This window comes from Homo sapiens, chromosome 1 (assembly GCF_000001405.40).
Source record: "Homo sapiens chromosome 1, GRCh38.p14 Primary Assembly".
NCBI classification, from domain to species: Eukaryota; Metazoa; Chordata; class Mammalia; order Primates; family Hominidae; genus Homo; species Homo sapiens.
In genome coordinates this window covers 154,485,786-154,500,058 of record NC_000001.11, presented here as the reverse complement: position 1 = coordinate 154,500,058, position 14,273 = coordinate 154,485,786, and the positions used below count along the sequence as shown (strand labels likewise).

At 44.0% G+C, this 14,273-nt stretch overlaps 1 protein-coding gene across 5 annotated transcripts in view, besides 2 other annotated features; it reads left to right on the top strand.

Annotated features, from left to right (window-relative positions):
• Positions 1–14,273, top strand: part of SHE (Src homology 2 domain containing E) — a 32,776-nt gene that overhangs the window by 2,354 nt on the left and 16,149 nt on the right. For 3 of the 5 annotated variants that reach the window (XM_005244891.6, XM_011509163.4, NM_001010846.3), the window contains exons 2-5: positions 821–947; positions 10,703–11,008; positions 13,376–13,532; positions 13,997–14,116. In XM_005244891.6, the coding sequence (XP_005244948.1) occupies positions 821–947; positions 10,703–11,008; positions 13,376–13,532; positions 13,997–14,116 (710 nt within the window). Of the gene's footprint in view, positions 1–820; positions 948–4,336; positions 5,051–10,702; positions 11,009–13,375; positions 13,533–13,996; positions 14,117–14,273 lie in introns of those variants that run through there. The other 2 variants (NR_135169.2, XM_017000256.3) reach the window with 2 other exon arrangements.
• Positions 10,464–10,965: an enhancer, noted in NCBI's record as "H3K4me1 hESC enhancer chr1:154461570-154462071 (GRCh37/hg19 assembly coordinates)". NCBI's record gives its function as "activates a minimal SCP1, AML or CMV promoter by ChIP-STARR-seq in naive H9 embryonic stem cells {active_cell/tissue: H9 hESC(naive)}" and the evidence as "EXISTENCE:reporter gene assay evidence [ECO:0000049][PMID:30033119]".
• Positions 10,966–11,468: an enhancer, noted in NCBI's record as "H3K4me1 hESC enhancer chr1:154461067-154461569 (GRCh37/hg19 assembly coordinates)". NCBI's record gives its function as "activates a minimal SCP1, AML or CMV promoter by ChIP-STARR-seq in naive H9 embryonic stem cells {active_cell/tissue: H9 hESC(naive)}" and the evidence as "EXISTENCE:reporter gene assay evidence [ECO:0000049][PMID:30033119]".

The window sequence follows — 14,273 nt, the reverse complement described above, 5'->3', positions numbered from 1 at the left end:
ACTTCTAAACTCTTTGGAGAATGTAACAGAGGTTGTGGAGCAAGGCCTGGAGCTTCCTTCCTGAGAAGGGTCCCCTACCCTCTGGTGTTGTCACCCATGTTGTCACACACCACCTCCTCAGGTGCCTTCTATTTTTGGAAAGATGGATGCTTTCTGACACAAAATAGGGGATCCCAGATAGGGATCAAAACCCTATCTGGTCTGTAGCCTGTGACAGTCAGTTTGCCTGTGAATTATTGAACGTAGAACACCTACAATACTGTTTAGTACTGACCTACTTCTCATCTATGAAGCCTGTGTCTTTGGAGCTGTGATCCACTCCTTGAGGACAGGAAGCATGTCTTGGGTTTATTTTGACTCCTTCACAGTGCCTAGCCAGTGCTGGTGGATGACTGACTGACTCATTATGACTGTACTGCTCAGCTGATTGGAGTTTAAAAAACTCAATTCATAAAGGGTATGTGGTAAAGCCACATACCCTTTATGCTCTAAAGCCACAGGTAGCCTTCACTCCCCACATCCACCCCTGCCACCCTCTAACCCAGAAAATGTTTTATTGCTTGGAGAAATAAAGGGAGGTATAAAGAGCCTTGGGGATAAGTGAAAGAGTTAGATGAATTGTTGCAAATCAACTGTACAACCAAAAAAAACAGGTGTTTGTCTAACTGGGACACATGATCAAGTGCAAAAGCTATCTGGAACTGGTTATAGAGATTTTGACCTCCTTGGATATGCAGGAGATGTCAGTAGCCATTTTGATACCATTGCCATTTTGGTATACGGTGGCCCTTAGCAACTGTCCTCTCTTGTTCTTTTTCAGGTCATCATTTTAGAAGACTATGCTGACCCTTATGATGCCAAACGGACAAAGGGTCAAAGGGATGCAGAGAGAGTCGGAGAGAACGACGGTTACATGGAACCATATGATGCACAGCAAATGATAACAGGTTTGTAAGCAGGCTCTACAGAATAGAGACTGAAATCTCACACTCAGTGAGTGTTGTAATATAGTAACCGGTGTCTATTGGGGAAGAGGGATAAAGCAATTTACCCAGATCCTGCTGACTTGAAGAAACAGAAATTAGACCCCAAACTAATGTCGGACTATTTAGGTAACTTCCTGTATGATTTAGTATCCTTCAGAGTTTTAGAATTTACAGGAGTCTTCAAAGTTTTTCTAGTTCTATGCAAGATGACATTTATGAGTGCAGATCTGCTCAGAATATGATGTTCAGTTTTAACATGATTATATACATTTTGGGGCCACTTTCAGAAGCTTTAACATTCATAATGGGAGTCATACATCTTACCAAGAAGCAAATACATACTTAAGGGATTTTAATCTATTAAAAAATGCAAGGATGGCCAGGTGCAGTGGCTCGTGCCTATAATCCCAGCACTTTGGGAGAGAGGCGGGCAGATCATATGAGGCCAGGAGTTTGAGACCAGCCTGGCCAACATAGTGAAACCCCATCTCTACTAAAAATACAAAAATTAGCCGGGTGTGGTGGTGCACACCTGTAATCCCAGCTATTTGGGAAGCTGAGGCACGAGAATCACTTGAACTAGGGAGGAGGAGGTTGCAACAAGCCAAGATTGCGCCACTGCACTCCAGCCTGGGCAGCAAAGCAAGACCCTGTCTCAAAAAGGAAAAAAAAAAAAAGGCCAGGCGCAGTGGCTCACGCCTATAATCCCAGCACTTTGGGAGGTCAAGGTGGGCGGATCACCTGAGGTCAGGAGTTCAAGACCAGCCTGACCAACATGGAGAAACCCTGTCTCTACTAAAAAAAAATACAAAATTAGCCAGGCATGGTGGCGCATGCCTGTAATCCCAGCTACTTGGGAGGCTGAGGTAGGAGAATTGCTTGAACCTGGGAGGCAGAGGTTGCAGTGAGCCAAGATTGAGCCATTGCACTCCAGCCTGGGCAACAAGAGTGGAACTCCGTCTCAAAAAAAACAAACAAAAACTGCAAACATGATGTGATTCTGTATTTTGTAGTAGAAGACTTTCTCAACAAGTTCTACAATATTGGAGCCAAGAATTTAATTACTAAGCAGTAATTATAAATTACTGCTGGCTGGGTGTGGTGGCTCACACCTGTAATCCCAGCACTTTGAGAGGCCGAGGTGGGCCGATCACCTGAGGTCGGGAGTTCGAGATCAGCCTGACCAACGTGGAGAAACCCCTGTCTCTACTAAAAATATAAAAAATTAGCCGGGCATGGTGGTGCATGCCTGTAATTCCAGATGCTCAGGAGGCTGAGGCAGGAGAATCACTTGAACTCGGGAGGCAGAGGTTGTGGTGAGCCAAGATCGTGCCATTGCACTCCAGCCTGGCCAACAAGAGGGAAACTCTGTCTCAAAAAAAAAAGAAAAGAAAAAAAAATCATTGCTGTGTAAACCAAGCCATTCAAGGCAACCACCTAAAACCAAAGACTAATCTTGTAACTTTTCAAGTCAGAACAATTCCAGTTTGTGAGCTAAGCAGTCACTCTGTCATTCTTAGTGTCAAACTTTTCCCTTTTAGTCATAATTCTCTTAAGTTGATGTAAATGATACTTAAATAAAAATAATATAGATTTATTTGTGAACTTTATGTCTTCACCTAGTTTTCCTTAAACAGTCTTCCATCCATAATGAGAAATGTAATTGCTGAATGCTGACTCAAGGGAGCCTTATTTGACTCTTGTGGGTTTCATGCCTGGGAAGAGTAACTGGTCCCACATGAAAGACTTTGTCTCTTCTGTTTAGAACAGATTGAAGAGCTGTCAAGCTCAGGTTCTCTAAGTATAGTCTCAGAAGAGTTGAGCAGAGAGTAGCAGCAGCACACTGGAAGGGCCAAGACAGTCTTCAGAATGAAAACGAGCTGGAACAGGAAAGCCTGGCTCCGCTTCCTGCTTCTCTGCTTACAGAGATAAGGCCCTCCGTGTGGGGAGGGTGTACCCTGGCCAGGCTGTGACCCTGAAGGTCACTGGACTGTGACCCCTAATGAAATCTGTGAATGAAAGGAAGTGAAAATGAACTGTCAGAGTTTTAAAAAACATCAGAGCCTTGAAAGGAATAGGGAAAAGAATTTACTTTTACATAAAATTGAGGAAAAGGATTTTCTTAAAAAAAAAAGTTTTATGCTTAATTGTGATTCACCTTTCTTTGTCCTTGGGTTTTTATTCTTATCTTTCTCTTTAACTGAAGTAGGTAGTTTATACCATACATCTGTTTATTTGGAGAGCTGCACTGATAAGAGGAAATGTGCTGTGATTTTATAAAAATGAATATAATTTTGGGGGGTTTTTTTGTTTTTTTTTTCATGTAATTCCCACAAGAGCTCTATAAGCTAGGGGACTACAATGCTGTCCCCCTTGTGACAGGGTGACAAAAAACAAGATCAAAGGGATTGGGGCTTGCCTGTGTTAAGGAGACATTTTAAGAGACAGAGCAGGAATTAGCACCCGGATCTCCCACTCCACATTGAGTGGTCTGCCCCTGACACCACATGGCGTTCAGGACACACTTGAAATGCCGTTTGCAAAACCACTGTAAACTTCACCCGTAAGTGAGGCACCTTTCCACTCAACCAAGAATGTTGTCTTCAGAAGTCAGAATTGTCCAACATGGAATAAATGTAATAATAATCGCTAGCATTTAATATTTGAGTGTGTATTAAGTTCCATGCTCTGTTTTAAACAATTTCTGAAAATAAATTCATTTAGGAATACAAAATTAATATATTCAGTTGGCAAATAAATTCAAATTTATTAAAAATCCAAATTACTAACTTTCTAAACTAGTGATCTAAGTATACTTTGGTCTTAACTTTAAAAAAGTTGTACTCGTGGATTTTAAAGTTTCTTCATTTAGAATATATATCACAAAGCACCTTCTCAATCAGTGTAGAGACTCTACCTCTTATTCTACCCGTAGGTTACAAGCTGGACAGAATAACAGGAAGTGAGTTTATCGGAAGCTAGAAATAAAAGATTTGCTGCTGGGCTTTTGTTTTTTGTTTTTTAAACCTTTTACTTTTTTATTCAGTTTGCTCCTTGTGTACCTGATTGTCAAGTCCAAGTTCGGAAATTTCCCGTCTTTCTTGAGAAATGAGAGTTTTTTTTACTTGTTTCAGCATTTCTGAAGATGGAAAGGATTTTAATGAACACAGTTGAACTGTGGAGTGGTTAAATCTGTGTTGCCATTCTTTGCATTGCCTTTTTTCTACCGGTGAAATGGGAATTACAGGCCTGGTTTTAACAATATCTTGGGCGTGTAGAATACTGCCCATATGTTGTTTTAGAATACCCAACAAATATTTCTTGAGGTTTTTTTTTTTATTATGTACTAGGCCCTGTCCTGAGCTCTGGGCATACAGGAAACAAGACCCACATGATTTCTGCCCTTGGACCTCACAGCCTAAGGGGGAAACAGACCTACCAGCAAAGAAGATAAGTCATTGAAAAGCATGATAAGTGCCATGAAGTTGAGAATAGGAGCCAGCATCTACCTCAGGGGCAGAGGAAACTGAGAGAAGCCCATGGCTTTCCTGTGGCCAAATCGCTATGGGACCCAGGAAGCCTGGGTCCCCCCAAAACTTTGCTCTTAACTTTTAAAAGTTAAGAATTTATGAGTTTATGAGTAAATTATCACTGAGATTTATCCAAAGGATTGTTCATAAAAAGATATGACTGAATACAAGGCAATATTAATATAAACCTCTGTTGCTTTTCTGCTAAATTCACAGGAACATTTTAACTAAATATTCTAGCTAAGATATTTAGCTAAATATTTGGCAGAAATATTCTACATAATCTAGCATTAGGAGTTTTAGCCACCGCTTTGAAACATTAGCATCGGACAGGTCTTTAAAAGTTCCCATTGGCTAGTTAGCATGAGGATTCTTTCTGCAGTTGATGTCATACAGCTGTAAATTGAGAGCTTACTAGGTACCAGCCTGGCCAAATTACCTCACTAAATCTTGCAGCAACCCTGTAAAGTGTTTTGTTTGTTTGTTTTTTTGAGACGGAGTCTCGCTGTGTCGCCCAGGCTGGAGTGCAGTGGTGCAATCTCAGCTCACTGCAATCTCTACCTCCCAGGTTCAAGTGATTCTCCTGCCTCAGCCTCCCAAGTAACTGGGATTACAGGCACCTGCCACCACACCTGGCTAATTTTCGTATTTTTAGTAGAGACGGGGTTTCACCATGTTGGTCAGACTGGTCTCGAACTCCTGGCCTCAAGTCATCCTCCTGCCTTGGCGTCCCAAAGTGCTGGGATTGCCAGCCACAAAGTGAGCCACCGTGCAAGCGGGTTTCTTTATACAGTTGAGGAAACCTAGGTTCAGAAAGATTAAATAATTTGTTCAAATTACACAACTGAAAATACCATGTCATTCAGCAAGCTGTGGTTTTAGCTTTTGAGCTCCAGTCAAAGATTATTTTTAAAATTTTATTTTTACTTCCAAATGATTTTGTTGGTTTGTTTAAATAGTCAAATCTAAAAGAGAACCTCACTGTTCGAGTCTCCATTAAAAAAAAAAAAAAAAACTATAAACTCCATCTGCCGGGCCCGGTGGCTCATGCCTATAATCCTAGCACTCTGGGAGGCCAAGGTGGGAGGATCAGTTGAGGCCAGAAGTTCAAGGCCAACCTTGCCAATATAGTGAGACCCCATCTCTAAAAAAAAAAAAAAAAAAAAAACTGTTATGTCTGTCTTTGCCTGTGATTTAAACAGAAAAAACCTCTTATGGAAAAAAGTGCAAATGAAGACTGGTTTTGATTTAATTTGTCTTTATTCTCCTCGCTAAATTTCAGGGTTTCTGAATTGTACCTGCTTTTGTTCAGATGTTTAGATTTATTCAATAAGAAAATATTAAAGTAATTTTAAAAGCTTGAGCACTGATCAAAGATATGAGTAAAAAATTGTCGGGCAGCCCTGTTTCTGATTCCAGGAGGAAAATAGAGTCTTAAGAGGCTCCAAGTTTAATGTTTTGGAAACATGAAATGGGTTAAAATGGATTAGGGGAAAAGGCACATTATTTGGAAATTGGAATTAACATTTTACGTGAAATCATTTGAGCATAAAGCATGGACTCTGGAGTTGGTAATAATTGGCCTCACCATAACTGCTGCATGACTGTGGCTTCCGTGTATTCACCTGTGAAAATGGGGTAACACATCTGTCACTGCCTTAGTGAGGCATCAGTGAGATTCTGGGCATAATACACCTAGCAGGTGTATACCTAGTCAGTACAGCCGTGAGTTAGACACTCCAGAGACAATTATATTTCCAAAGAGCATTCTGGACCATATAGGGCAATACTTATTGCTAACTACAGTTAATTTAGTAAAAGAAAATCTTAGTCTTCTGCTAAGACTTTCTTGTTTTTGTGTTTTCATGTGAATGACATAATTACCTGCAGCGAGTTGGGGATTGAGAAGGGAAAATTTTGGGCCCCTATAATGTTTCACACCAACCAACTGCATGTTTTTAGTAGGTGCAGGTCAGTGCTGAGCTTCAGCCCCAGGCTGCAAATGAGTGTTTATCTGCTGCCCGTCCCCTGCATTCTGTTGTCTGCTGTGGTAAATGGCCTCTATCGGCAGCCAGGGTGTAGCTTCCTCTTGCCATTTCCTCCTTCTCAGGCTCGTTTCCTCTTGGAGCCAGCTCTGCACGTCAGGGGCTATTCTCCCTGCAGGAAGGGTCGGCTTGCAGCCCCACGATTGTTTCTGTTTCTATGGCGCCTCAGGTTTGGGGGCAGCCAGGTGTTGGAATGGACTGGAAGGTTACTCCCCTTGAAGAGGGGGGTGGTGTGGGGAGGGGAGGCCTGTGCTCAAGCCCTTTCTTCCCCTAATTAAACATTGTTTCAAAAGATGATAGCAGTTTGCAGATTTTGCCTAATCCCAGGACCCTGCAAGAAAGCATTCTCAACTCCATGCTTTGTGTATCTCCCAGAACTCTAAGTGTGGGGAGACTGTCTAAATAGAAGGACCTCGTTGCAAAAGTAAAAACTCAAACGCGTGTGTAATAAGAACTCAAGATTCTAATCACTATACATCATTTTATTTTATTTTAGGGGAGGTGGGCTGGAAGGCCCGGTAGGAACACTGCCCATCCACCCTGTACATTTTAATCCAAATGTATTGAAATGTCCTTGTGAGCAGGGCTCCTTCTGTCTTAATGTTAGAATCACCTCTTTTTCCTTTTAGTTTAGCTGGGGCAGAATTGCAGCAAGGACCTTGGGAAAGGGTTTCCCCAGCCTGTGCCAGATGGTCTCAACTGAGTGTAAACTATGATTAGAAACCTTAAAATTGTATTCTATATTCATCCTTTGAACTCCTTTGTGTTTTCTGCTTCCCTTTTCTTAGTTCTTTAGAAAAGTTCCTTTTAAAAAAATTACAGCCTTGTCTTAATTGAACCAAGAACAGAGTATGTTTTTGTTTCTTGTTTTCCATAGCTCTGTTTGGAGTAAGCAAGGAAGAAGAAAAACTGTAGGACTGAGAGTCCAGGGACTCAGGAGATGCAGCTCTGACCTCAGACAACCCCAGATACCTGGCCTGGCCTGGGGGTGGGGGCCAGGGACAGTTCTTCCGACTCTTACATTCTGATGTGGAAGTGGTAGACACAGGCAGTACCTTTCTCCTCAGGATGGGACTAGCAATGACAGGCTCCGGAGAATGAGGAACCAAGATGGGGACTGTGGACACCCAGGAGGTGTGGAAGTGGTTCTCAGGTTTAGCTGCTCTTTAGAATCACCTGGGGGATTTTTACACTCTTGACTCCCACACTGTACCCCAGACTAATCCAATCTGAACCTCTGGTGGTTAAAGCAGTGTGTGTGAAAGCCCGCGGGTGATTTCAATGAGCTGTCCCTGCACAGAATTTGAGACAGCTGCTGACAGCCCCTAGTCAGCAGAGAACTATAACCTCAGCCTATACCTAAGTTTTGCACTTTTGAATTTGGTGTCCTGATTTTAATAACGTTTCCCTCATTTGTTGCCCTCTTTTTGTTATAGAGGTCTTAATGAGTCAGTGGCATTTCTCCACGGACCATCCCCACACCTGTTTTGAAGTTACAGATAGAAAGTCTTTCCACCCTTTGTGTCTGCGGCCCTGCGGTCTCCTGAGCCTCTTCCTCCTCACCTGACCCCTCAGCCTTCTTTGCTGGCACCTCCTTCCAGCCACCCATAACTGAAGGAGTCCCAGATTCTGCCTTTGATCCTCTCTCGTTTTCAATCTGCCGTCCTTTTCTCTTGTGATTGCTTTCATTCTCACAGTATTCACAACGATCCATTTGTTAACCCCTTGACGTATTCCTCCAGATCCACACTGTCACCTGCCTGGAGACATTCTTGAGTTCCCTCCCCTCCCTCTCTCCTCCCATCCATCCATCCAGTCATTATTTAGCACAATGATATGTCCTACAGTAATAAACAAGATATGGTGGTCTCTGCCCTGGCAGACTCCACCAAATTGAAAATACAGACACATCAACATATAAATGGATGCAGTGGGAGAAGAGCAGGGTGAGAGTGCGTTGGTCCAGCCGTGGCACCTGTTTAACTTTGTGGGGTATCAGAGAAGAAGGTGGGCAGGAAAGCCTTCTCCGGAGAGGAGAAGATGCTGAGTTAGATTGTAAAGGATTGCAAGATCGCCAGGACACCGGTGGGCTCAAGACAGTGTAGTATGCAGGGAACTGCCAGAAATTCCACTTGGTCAGAGCAAAGAATTGGATTATGGGGAGATGGGGCAGGGTAGTGTTGAGAAATTGGGGAGAAAGACAGTGACCTACTCATGTAAGCCTCCCATGCCGTTCTCAGTGTTCTTCACTTCTTAAGTAAACAGTCGGGAGCTTATGAGGTGTTAAGAGATGAGGTATCTGCATATAGAAAGTTCCTCCTTGACTATGACCAGGTAGAGGATGGTTTGAAGGCTTCCTGATGGGCGTTTAGAAGAGCCACAAAATGACATTTCTGTTGGTCTATAATATAGACTCTGTATCACCAGCTCTGGTTGTCCAGACTCCAGCCATCTCTAACTCTGGCAAGGCTCCTTGACCCCAGGCTGCTCACCACCCTGTACTGCTAGTTCCTTCTCACTGTGGCTGGTTGGCTGGTTAGATAGCTAGTGGTTGGTTGGTTTGCATATGGTTTTTTCCATCTATTTTTATGCCCCATTTCAGACTATACCTTTTTGATTTACTCTATCCTGTACACCATGGTTAGAGTTACCTTCCAGTGAAACACAAATATAATTGTTATTCCCCACTGAAAAAAAAAAAAACCTTATAATGGTTTTGTTTTACATACACAACCATCTAAACTTTGTGTCCTTACTTTTAAAATGTCTACACCTTGGCACCTGGCTTGCCTATGCTTCCAGCTGCTTCTCCCATTACCCATTGCCTCTCTCCTTTGTGGCCTTCTGGCCTTTAGACCCATCTCTCAGCTCCCCATTATGGAACAAGCCCTCTATCGTTCCCACCTCCATATCTTCACTCATGCAGCTTCCTCTACTGGAAATGACCTTCTCTATCAAAGTCAACTCATCTTCCATTTCTCTTCCACTTGGAGTCAATCCAAGTGTAGTGGCTAAGAGTATAGCTTCTAGAGCCCAACTTCCTGCTTCTGAATCCAGGCTTTGGCACTTACTGGTTTAGACAATTTCCTTAAACTCTTTGTGCTTCAGTTTTCTCTTCTGTAATAATGGGGAAATAATGATATCCCATAATCTTAGAGTGATTGTGAAAGTTACTAGACACTTAGAATAGTGCTTCACACATGGTAAGCCATCGATAAATGTTAGCTGCTGAGTTGTTATTACTGGTTTTCCCTATAACACTTCTTTTACTTTGATTTATCCTGGAGTTATTAGCCCAATACATATTATTCGTGAATGTGTCTGGCTTCCCCCAGTTTATTGAAACTGCATAGGAGTCAAGAACTCTGACTAATGCACATAAATGCTTTCCCTTAGTGTATATGCAGCAATGCTTTGAATATCCAGACAGTGCCTGACTTACTGTGGTTTGACTATAATTTTCAACCTTTACAGTGGTGCAAAAGTGATATGCATTCAGTAGAAATTGTACTTCGAGTCACATACAGCCATTCTGGTTTTTACTTTGAGCATTCAGTAGATCACATGAGATGTTCAAAACTTTATTACAAAATGGGCTTTGTGTCAGATGATCGTGTCCAGCTGTGGGCTAATGTGTTCGTTTAAGGTGGGCTAGGCTAAACCATGATACTGAGTAAGTTACATGTATTAAGTGCATTTTTGACTTGCAGTCGATTTTATTACAATTCTTTTATCTGGGCTTCCTGACAAGATGTAAAAACTTTGAAAGTGAGCTATACTCAGAGCAGACACCAGAACCTGGAAATGAAGCAGGTTACCCTGAGGCCACTACTTACAAACTGCAAGTGGCACCCTGGAGGTGTGCTTGTCTTCAGATGTAATCTCCCACCTTAAATGTGGATCCCATTATCTGACTCAGGCAACTGGAGGGAAGAAGTTGTAGGCACCTTCATTTTGCTTTTGTAACACAGCTGAGAAGTAATCAACCTATCAGGGAGCAATCTTGGAGTTATCTGCCACCTTCACCCAGACAGACAGAGGTGCTGAGGCAGTTGGGTTAATGACCAGGCTTTTATGGCATCTTTGCTTTCAAGACATTGTGTATGGTGTGTGTTTTTCAGAAATGGTGTGTGTTTTTCAGAAATTAGACGACGGGGTTCCAAAGATCCCCTGGTGAAGGCTCTCCAGCTGCTTGACAGTCCCTGTGAACCCGCAGACGGTGGCCTGAAATCAGAGACCTTGGCCAAAAGACGGAGTTCCAAGGACCTCCTGGGGAAGCCGCCACAGCTATACGACACTCCCTACGAGCCTGCAGAAGGGGGGCCCAGGGCAGAGGGGAAGGCGCGGCCCCCAGACAGCCGGCTGCCCGAGAACGACGAGAGGCCCGCGGCAGAGTACGAGCAGCCATGGGAGTGGAAGAAGGAGCAGATCGTGCGGGCTCTGTCAGGTGAGGGCGCCAGGCCAGGCCCGCCCCAGTGTGACTTCAGTCTTCTGGCCACCGCATCAGCCCCACATTTGTTTTTTTCCTTGTGGGTACCTTTATATTCCTTTCTCTTCTCAATGTGCAACTGTTTTGGAAATGCCTGAAATGACCATTGAAAGAATGACCACCTGGCTGGGCACGGTGGCTTGCGCCTGTAATCCAAGTCACTTTAGGAGAAGGCAGGCGGATCACTTGACCCCAGGAGTTCAAGACCAGCCTGGTCAACATGGCGAAACTCCATCTCTACTAAAAATACAAAAATGAGCTGGGTCTGGTGCTGGGCGCGTGTAATCCCAGCTAGTGGGCAGCCTGAGACAGGAGAATCGCTTGAACTCAAGAGGCGGAGGTTGCAGTGAGTCAAGATCGTGCCACTGCATTTCAACCTGGGTGACAGAGCGAGACTCTGTCTCAAAAAATAATAAGTAACTAAATACATAAATAAATAAAAGTATAACCAAGCCGGGCACAGTGGCTCACACCTGTAATCCCTGCACTTTGGGAGCTGAGGCAGGCGGATCACTTGAGGTCAGGAGTTCAAGACCGGCCTGGCCAACATGGTAAAACCCTGTCTCTACTAAAAATACAAAAATTAGCTGGACGTGGTGGCGTACACCTGTAGTCCCAGCTACTCAAGAGGCTGAGGCAGAAGAATAGCTTGAACCTGGGAGGTGGAGGCTGCAGTGAGCCGAGATCATGCCACTGCACTCCAGCCTGGGTGACAGAGCAAGACTCTGGCTCAAAAATAATAATAATAATTATACAAAAGTATAACTATGCTGGGTGTGGTGGCTCATGCCTGTAATCCTAGCACTTTGGGAGGCCGAGGCAGGCAGATCATGAGGTCAAGAGCTGGAGACCATCCTGGCCAACATGGTGAAACGCCGTCTTTACTAAAAATACAAAAAATACCTGGGTGTTGTGGCACGCACCTGTAGTCCCAGCTACAGCTCGAGAAGCTAAGACAGGAGAATTGCTTGAACCCAGGAGGCGGAGGTTGCAGTGAGCCAAGATCTCCCCACTGAACTCCAGCCTGGGTGACAGAGTGAGACTCCATCTCAAAAAGAAAAAAAAAAAGTATAACCAATGTAAAGGGTGAAGGGAGAAGGTAATATATTTGATGGCAAGCATTTGAGTCAGTTTTTTTCTTTTTTTTTTTTTGTTTTTTGAGACAGGGTCTCACTCTGTCACCCAGGCTGGAGTGCGTTGGTGTGATCATGGCTCACTGCATCCTCAGCCTCCTGAGCTCAGGCAGTCCTCTCACCTCAGCCCCCCGAAGAGCTGGGACTACAGGCGTGCACCACCACTCCCGGATTATTCTTTAATTTTTTAGAGATGGGGTCTCACTGTGCTGCCCAGGTGGGTCTTGAACTCCTGAGCTCAAGAGATCCTCTCACCTCAGCCTCCCAAAGTGCTGGGATTACAGGCAAGAGCTACCATGCCCAGCCTGGAGTCAGTTTCGTTTGATTTGAGTTGTCATCTCGGGTACCTGCTCAGTCCTGTGCCAGGTGCTGCCATTTCATCTCCTTCTCTCCAGCCTAGGTGTCATGGCATCTCGTATTATTTGGTAGTCTTTCTGTTTCTGAGTTGTCTTTTCTTTTTGTTTTATTATTTCATACTAAAAACTATTGGTTTGGTTTTATAGGATGATACACATTCTTGCAAGGATTCATTACCTGTAACTATGTTTAATCTTTTATCCTAAAAATAGCAGAACTACAAGTAGTTTGGCTTTTTTTTTTTTTTTGAGACGGAGTCTCACCCTGTCGCCAGGGTGGAGTGCCGTGGCGCAATCTTGGCTCACTGCAACCTCTGCCTCCCGGGTTCAAGTGATTCTCCTGCCTCAGCCTCCCAAGTAGCTGGGACTCCAAGCACGAGCCACGACGCCCAGCTACTTTTTGTATTTTTAGTAGAGATGGGGTTTCACCAGGTTAGCCAGGATGGTCTTGATCTCTTGACCTTGTGATCTGCCTGCCTTGGCCTCCCAAAGTGGTGGGATTACAGGCATGAGCCACCGTGCCCGGCCACAAAACCACAAGTTTTTTAAAAGTCCATGTTGAAATACATTAAAGTGGTTTCCTCTCATAATCTAAAACTGTTTTATACTGATGAATATTTTACAGAAAAAGTGTCTGTGGGATGCTAGCAGTGTGATCAGATATCAAAGACAGCAGGAGCTCAGCTAGCCAGGGTATTTTGCAGTATATTATAGTTAATGTTAAAGGGGGAAAATGCTTCTTTCCTGAGCCAAGGCAGGCAAGGAGGTTTTTTCCCTTTGAAGTTTACATGGGTCACCGCAGTGGCCTGTGATGTTAAATGGAGTCTTCCTTCCAGTCCAGTTTGAAGGAGCTGAGCGACCTTCCTTCAGGGAGGAGACAGTGAGGCAGCACCACCGGCAGAAGAGCTGGACCCAGAAGATCCTGAAGCCAGCCCTCTCGGACCACAGTGAGGGAGAGAAAGTGGACCCGGGCCTGCCCCTGGAGAAGCAGCCGTGAGTCTCCTCCTCAGATCCTTGTAACAGACAACAGCTGGGAGCTTACAGCTTTGTATCAGGGAGCACATTGGCCCATTTCACATGATTATTTTTGTTAATGAACACTTGCCTGGATGGGGTTTTTAATGAAAACCCATCTTCAAAGCCCAGTGCATTGTGCAAAATGGAAAGTGCACTGCATCTCAACAAGCTCATTGTAAGTCTTATTCTTCTGTAGAGAGTGAAAACTGTTCAAATGACACTAGCGCCGTTAACTCACTCTTGTATGATTGATAGGCTTTGTGATCTGGGATCACCCAGATCTGCATTTTGTCTGTTCTGAATGTGAAGCAGGATCTAGTTCAGGCTGTTGCGTCTCTGCCAGAAGTTCATTTCAAACAACGCTTTATGGAGCAATGCCCAGTCTGGATTTGTATTTTGACACTCATGGTGCTTTCCCCTCTTCCACCCCCATTTTTCAGCTGGTATCATGGTGCCATCAGCCGTGCTGAGGCTGAGAGTCGACTACAGCCCTGCAAAGAAGCTGGTTACCTGGTTCGAAATAGTGAGTCAGGGAACAGCAGGTACTCCATTGCCCTAAAGTAAGTAAGCCCCATGGCTTTCCTCATCTCCAAGGGGAAGGAACACTGTGTGACAGTCTTCTAGTCAAAAAAAACATACTGTGAAGGTGTTTCACAGGGGTGTGCATTGCAGAAAATAAGAGGCATTTGTTTGGACAATGGAACATGAGACACTTGG